The 7,803-nt window shown below is 40.8% G+C and overlaps 1 annotated feature.

Moving 5' to 3' along the window:
* Positions 1 to 201: a silencer, noted in NCBI's record as "peak5691 fragment used in MPRA reporter construct". NCBI's record gives its function as "represses an SCP1 promoter by STARR-seq MPRAs in K562 erythroleukemia cells {active_cell/tissue: K562}" and the evidence as "EXISTENCE:reporter gene assay evidence [ECO:0000049][PMID:32103011]".

Genomic DNA, 7,803 nt, shown 5'->3' with positions numbered 1-7,803 from the left:
CTGTCTGACTGCCTGTGAGCTGGGACATTGGATTTTTTCTTGCCTTTGGACTCAAACTGAAACATTGGCTCTTCCCGGATCTCAAGCCTGCTGGCTTTCAGGCTGGAGCTCACACTGTCAGCTCTTCTGATTCTCAGGCCTTTAGACCCAGACTGGAATTGCACCATCCGGTCTTCTGGGTCTGCGGCTTGCCAACTGCAGACTTCGGGACTTCTCAATCTCCATAATCATGTGAGATGTGAGCTGATTTCTTATAACAAATATCTTTTTATATGTGTATGTGATGATGTAAAATATATATATATATTTGATCTTTTTCCCAGTTTCCTTATGTACAGCTCCTAAAATCCTTTGAGTCTCTGGAGTCATAAGAGTATTTTGTGTGTGCTAATGAGATAACTAGTCAGCTGGGGACCTCTAGATAGCATCAGGATGGGGGCTGGTTGCCACGGGAACCAGCCAAGTGTTAGAGGATTGGAACTTTCAGTCCCTCGCTCCACCTCTGGGGAGGGGAGAGGGGCTGAAGGTCGAGTTGATCACCAATGGCCAATGATATAATCAATCATGCTATATAACAAAGTTTCTATAAAAACCCAGAAGTACTGAGTTCAGGGGGCTTCCAGGTTGGTAAACAAGAACTCATCCGCATACCAGGAGGATGGCTCCCAACTACTACACGGGGACAGAAGCTCGTGCACTCAAGACCCTTCCAGACCACGTTCTCTGTATCTCTTCATCCGGCTGCTCCCTTGTATCCTTTAAAATCACCTTTGTAATACACGGGGAACTGTTAGAGTGTTTCCCTGAGTTCTGTGAACCACCCTAGCACATTAATTACATCTGAGGAAAGGGTCATGGGCACCCCAATGTATAGCCTGTTGGCCAGAAGTTCTGGAAGTCCGGGACTCACAAATGGAGTCTGAAGGGCAGAGCAGTCTTGTGGGACTGAGCTCTCACCCTGTGGGATCTCCCCGCAGGTAGATAGGGAGTATCAGCATTGAATTGAATTGAATTAGAGCAAACCCAGCTGATGTCTGCCGCAGAATTGCTCACTTGTTGGGTGTGGCGGGGAGTTGGGGGTGGGGGGAACCCACACACATTTGGTTACAGGAGCATTCTGTGTTGTGAGAGTATAATGGGAAAAACAGTTGGTTTTTTCAACTCTTTCTCTATGTATCTATACCTGTATGATCTATCTATAGTTCTCTATATAGACTTATATACAGATATCTCTTATTGGTTCTGTTTCTCTGGAGAACCCTGACTAATACACTCGTGTTCAAGTATCTTCAGATACAAGAACAGCTATCCATTCCTTAATGCAGAAAAAACATTTACTGTCGTGCTGTAAAGAAAGTAACCTACTGTGTGGCCCATGTCATGCAGACACACACATTTTGTTCACGTTCAAAAGCTCATCTTGACCAGGCTCACACCTGTAATCCCAGCACTTTGGGAGGCCAAGGGGGGGGCAGATCACTTGAGGTCAGGAGTTCGAGACCAGCCTGGCCAATATGGTGAAACCCCGTCTCTACTAAAAATATGAAAATTAGCCAGGCGTGGCGGCAGGCACCTGTAGTCCCAGCTACTCAGGAGGCTGAGGCAGGAGAATTGCTCGAACCCAGGAAGTGGAGGTTGCAGTGAGCCAAGATGGCACAGTTGCACTCCAGCCTGAGTGTTGCAGTGAGACTCCATCTCAAAAAAAACAAAACAAAAACAAAAACAAAAGCTCATCTGGGCACCTAACTAGAAAGGGAGAAGTAGGACTCAGTGAATCCACGGACATTGTCATTAGTCGTGGAGAGCAGGTGTGCTTTGGTGGGAGGGGTATGGGGTGGAGGTGGAGGGATAGGAACACAGGACTGATGCAGGGACTACTTGCTCCTTTTTTCTGCCAGGCATGGCTAGCTGCCCTACATGCATAATCCTGACAACAATTCTGTGAGGCTGGTGCTGAATTTTTATTTCTTCAAGGCAACTTAGAAAATCATTTAATTACACTAGAAAATCATATAATCCACTGATTTTTTTAAAAAGGTGAGTCAGGAAAATAAGACAAGGAGAAATGAAGACTATAGGAAAATAAGATAGATCTAGGGATGGTTTGTCCACAAAATGCCATTGTAAAATCCTGTGTCCAAGCCAGAAACAGAGCACAGACTGGCCTAGTCATGTTCTAGCATCCAGTACAAACAGGAGAGCGAGATCAAGTTTGTGATGCATTGTATTCAGAGGACAATGGCAAGAGAAACAAAACTCTCCCAGGATCTATACGAGAGAGGCATTTCTCCCAGTGTCCTTGGAAAGAGAGCCCAGTAGGATGTCGTGAGCAAGAGCATCCCCACAGAAGTTCTGACTTGCAGCTTCATAGGGCTGCTTCACCTCATGTCCTTGGCAAATACAATAATGTCAAGTGCAAGTCAGCAAAAACAATTATACGGGAAGCAAAAAACCATGTGGCCTGACTACACAGCTTTCTAAGGGCCTGTCTTCATCCCAAGAGTAGATTTTAGAGTATCTGGAGCAGAGGCGCTCTTAATGGAGCATTTTGGGCATTTGCACTGGAGTTTTGGGGTTGTTGTAAAGTGAGGGTCCTCCTGGGAGTTAGAGGGCAGAGCCCAGGGACAGTCAACACCCTGCAGTGGGCAGACAGTGCACAGAATAGAGAACTGCCCCATGTCCAAGGAAGGATTGTCCTGTATCCCTCATGGCTTTTTCAGTACAATATGGATGTTTGTGTAGACGAAAAACCTTTTGTAACATGTTATTATACACTGCTGGTGGGGAGGCAAAATGGTGCAACTTCTATGGAGGAGAATTTGGCAAACTCTAAAACTCTAAATGTTTGCCCAGTGATCCCACTTCTAGAATCCACTCGTAAGTTACCCCTCCACAAATACAAAATAGTATGTATACAGGGTTATTAATGGCAGCATTTGTTGTAATTTTAAAAAGATTAGAAGCAATACAAACATCCATAAATGTGTCACTGGTTGAATAAACTAAGGTGCGTCTACACAATACAATATAATGTAGCCATTAAGAAAAGAATTAGATAGACTGATATGAACAGACTTCAGGATGTACATAACATCTACAGGTATGGTCTTTTTTAAAGTATTTTTTTAATGTTGAGGGCGAAAGTAAATAAGTGAATATACGTTATTAGGAACCAAAATTGTCAACTTAAGAAAATAGATGTAAAGGATAAATCTCTGCAATGTTTTATTTGAATTGGAAGTAGCTTATGAACTCAATTACAAAAAAGTACACACACAGCCTTAGCTCTGTCCATGGAATTAGAGATCCTTGGATGAATGATTGATTCCAATTATAAGAAAGGAAAGGCAAATTTGTTTTCAAAAACCAATGGCAGATGTGTAAAAAAAAATCAATGTCATGGGAGAAAAAGATGAAGGGATTATTCTAGATTAAAAGAAACTAGTAAAATATAACAAATATAATGGGTGAATGCTGATTGGATCCTGATTTTTAAAAATCAGCCTTGAAAATAATGCTTGGGTCAACTGGAGAAATTTGTTTATGGACTAGATATCAGGCGGTATTATGAAATTGTTAATTTTCTTAGATGTTATAATGGTATCATAAATATGTAGGACAATGTCATTTTTAGAAGCTACATAGTGAAATAAATTGTGATATGTTTCATCACTTTCAAATGATTCTGGGAAAAAAATGGTTGAATTTGTGTTCAACCTTTTTGGATATATACCAGTATTTATTGTGCTATTCTTTCAACTCTTCTATATGTCTGAAATTTTTCATAATAAAAATATAAAAAGTTTTCCAATTTTTTGAACATAGATCCTTACTCTATTTTGCACACAAGCCCCCAAAATTTTGGCATAGTTTTTTTGTTTGTTTGTTTTTTGAGACACAGTCTCGCACTGTCGCCCAGGCTGGAGTACAGTGGCACCATCTCTGCTCACTGCAACCTCCACCTCCTGGGTTCAAAGCAATTCTCCTGCTTCAGCCTCCCGAATAGCTGGGATTACAAATGGCCTGTCACCATGCCAGCTAATTTTTTTGTATTTTTAGTAGAGACGGGGTTTCACTATGTTGGCCAGGCTTGTTTTGAACTCCTGACCTCGTGATCTGCCCGCCTCAGCCTCCCAAAGTGCTGGGGCATAGTTTTTAATTAGTGAATTTCCCAGTAATACACCTACTATATGAATTAAGGGAAGCTTTTATTAAGTTTTATTTGGAATATAGCCAATAGTATTCACCATTCCACATACACACCTCTACTCACCTGTGCTCCTAGCTGCCACACATTCATGCTGAGAGGTGAAGTGTCTTATGACTTCCTTTTGTCTTCTAGAATGGTTGTGTTGAGCCTTTAATACTTATTGAAATGCACAAGAGTGCATCATAAATTAATCTCCTTTTATGTCTTCTTTATATTCCAGTTAGAGTATTTTTTGGTGTTTTTAAAAATGTGTGTGTAGATAGGTTATGTTTCTCATGAATTTTATTTTAGAATAGTAAAAGAAGTCGTTAAAGAATGTAATCATCAAAAGGTGGTCAGATAGGGTGGAGAATTATTTCCCTGAGTTATGGTTGCAGAACACATCCTTCAGGCCAAAGGACACAGGCCAGATATTGAGTGGGAGCCCCATATAGGGGACATCCATCAGGGAGCTGCCCAACAGTCTACAAAGAAATCTGACCCCAGTAATAGATCTGGCTTCCGCATAAGCTAACATCCCCACTCCCTTACATTTGTCATAAAAAATAGATAAGGTAACAAGAGACATATATTTAAGACTCAAACATTTCCATTTGAGGTTTTATTTTTGGTCTTTGTGAGAAGAAATTGTACAAGGTGCTTTTCCTTTTTTTAAATAGCATTTCAAGAATTGTATGCTATCTCTGATGATAATTACAGGAATTACCTTTTTCTGAACCAAAATTGAAATGTGGCTTCACAATGAATCATCTATGACCTAAGAAGGTATTGATAAAGAAAGCTTTATAATTGTACAGAAATGAAGCATATCTAGTTAGACAGTTAACGAGTATTTTTTATTGAAAAGAAGAAAATTTCACCACCAATGGTTCCAGGAAATACAGGACACGTGTTTGCTGTAAAACACTGAACTAAAAATACAGAAGAGGGAACATGTGTTTATTCATTCATTCATTCATTCATTCATTCATTCATTCATTCATTATGTATGATATGTGCCAGGCCCAGTACTAGGTGTTAAGGGTAAAGAGGCAATATGTGCCCTCAAGGAGCTTTTAGTTTAATGGAAAAAGAGCGTTAGTTAACATTCTGCCGAACGGTGCATATGCCAGGGAGGGGTCGGTATGGGAGAAGAGACAGACATGCTTGAGAATCAGCAATGGACCAAGCCATTACAGAAAAAGCTGCCTTTGTGGAGAGAGATAAGCAAAACCCAGCGTGAAGTAAGGTCATTATAGTAATAAGAGGAAAGTGAAAGGTATCCTCTTAGCTCGCAATACGATGCCAGAGCTAGAGAATTCCTCATGAAAAGGCAAAAAGAAAATGCTGCATAGGTGAATTCTACTTAACAGAAGGTATCTGCACTGTAGAATAACAGTATAAAGTCCAGGCTCTTTGCCTTTGGGACCACGGGATTCTGAAAAGTGCAGAAGACACTGGTTTTCTGTTTTTACTTATTTGTTTATTCTCGGTCAGGATCTGAACTTTCTTCCCATGGCGGGGACCTTTCTTTGTATGAGGCTTGGCTGTCCAATCTCCCACCATGAAAGCCAAACAGGGAAGACCGGTCTCCCCACTGGCAGCCAGAAGGGTATGGACACCTGACCTAGATCCATCTGTCAGGTGTTCCAACCCCAACTCTGATTCTCAGCTGAGTATGAAAGCACAAGGGCAGTTTAAATCCATTTTCAGTGACAATGTCCAGCAGTGACAATAGCTGCTACGCCTGTGACAGTGTCCTAGCCAGACTGCTTCTATGGCATGACCTCAAAGCTACTCAGCTTCCCGTGGCTCCTACCTGCCTTCTGACCTTGTTCTTTAGCTTTCCAGCAATTTGAGCACATCTCAGTAGTCTTGCTAAGGGTGTATGGAGATGAGTAATTTTCTAGACAGGAGGAGAATAGGTGAAAGTAAGCCAAGTAATTAATGAACAGAAAGTCCTTCTCAGCCTTCAAGATAGACAAGATCGATAGGCAATTGCAGGAAAAAAGACATGAAGAAGACGGTGAGGAGTAGAATCAATGCAAGGCAATTTAAGAGACAAAATAGGAATGAAGAACGAATGAAAGGCTCACAGAGAATATTGACAGAATATCGGAGAGGGAAAATTACACTAACACAATGAGGCCAATGTGCATGAAGAAAGCTAGAAAGGGGGAAACAGCAGAAGAAAACTTTCCTAGAAAAACATGAAAAGAAATCAACTGATGCAGAAAACGGGACAGAAAGCTCAATCTTGGATACATCTAGATTAGACCACCAAAAAGGGGTGGCAGAATTTTTCTCAGATGTGTTCACAGAGAAGGAAAAGGGAAAAGTAAATACTAAAAGACTGTCTCAGACTCTTTTATAGGTTTGTATTTTTAAAAACTATTTTTACTATAAATGTAATGTCAGGATACAGAAAAAATGAGGGGATATTACCCATCATCCTATTAAGCCTAACATAACCCTATCAGCATGTTGGCATGTGAGGATTTTTTTCATTGTGTAGGATTAATTTAAACATGGTAGTAATTTGTTATCCTGATTTTTCATTTACTATTATTGTATTAACAGGTTTTTCTGCTGGTTGAAAGTCTTAATTAATATAAATATTAATGCCTGCATAAGTCTATAAAGGAGTTAACCTTGATTTCCTTGGTTTTTTTTTTTTTTTTTTTTGGATGGAGTCTCAGTCTGTTGCCTAGGCTGGAGTGCAGTGGCATGATCTTGGCTCACTGCAACCTCCACCTCCCAGGCTCAAGAAGTTCAACCTCCCAAGTATCTGGGATTACAGACATGTGCCACTACACCCAGCTAATTTTTGTATTTTTAGTAGAGATGAGCTTTCACCATATTGGCTAGGCTGGTCTCAAACTCCTGACCTCGGGCGATCCACCCACCTCGGCCTCCCAAAGTGCTGGGTTTATAGGCATGAGCCACAGCACCTGGTCGATTTCCTTGGTTTTAGATGGTGTGTGTGTACCCCTTATTGTGTGCCTACTATGTAATTAGGGCTCTGTATTCATTTTCTTTAACCCTTGAACAATCCCACAACTCGAATATAATAATTGCTGTTGCAAATTCAGACAAGTGTAGTGGTTGGCTACAAGTAGGTGGTAAAAGTAAGAGCTGTGCTCAAGCTTGCTGAATCCCAAGTCACTGCCTTTTCCACTATGCCATGGCACACCCCATTAGTTGTTGCCAAATTTTTGTTGCCTTGAATAATACTAGAATATCTTTGTGTTGACAGTTTTTCTCTACTTTGGATTGATTTCTTAGAAGTAAAATTACTAGGTCACATGAATATTGTTGTGCCTCCATATGTATTGTCAAGTGGATTTCCAAAAGGTTGAATGTCATTTGTGGTGTTCTCAACAATGAGTAAGGTTACATCAATACACCCCCACCAACACTGAGCACTTTTTTTTCCTAATTTACTATTAAATTTTTCTTAATTTTCTTTTCTTTTTTTTTTCTTTCTTAAGACATGGTCTCAATATGTCACCCAGGCTGGAGCTCAATGGTGCGATCACGGCTTACTACAGCCTCCCTGGGGTTAGGTGGTCCTCATGCCTCTGCCTCCCAAGTAGCTGGGACTACAGTGTGTT

The sequence above is a fragment of the Homo sapiens genome, chromosome 6, assembly GCF_000001405.40.
Source record: "Homo sapiens chromosome 6, GRCh38.p14 Primary Assembly".
NCBI classification, from domain to species: domain Eukaryota; kingdom Metazoa; phylum Chordata; class Mammalia; order Primates; family Hominidae; genus Homo; species Homo sapiens.
This window is presented reverse-complemented; position numbering and strand designations above follow the sequence as displayed.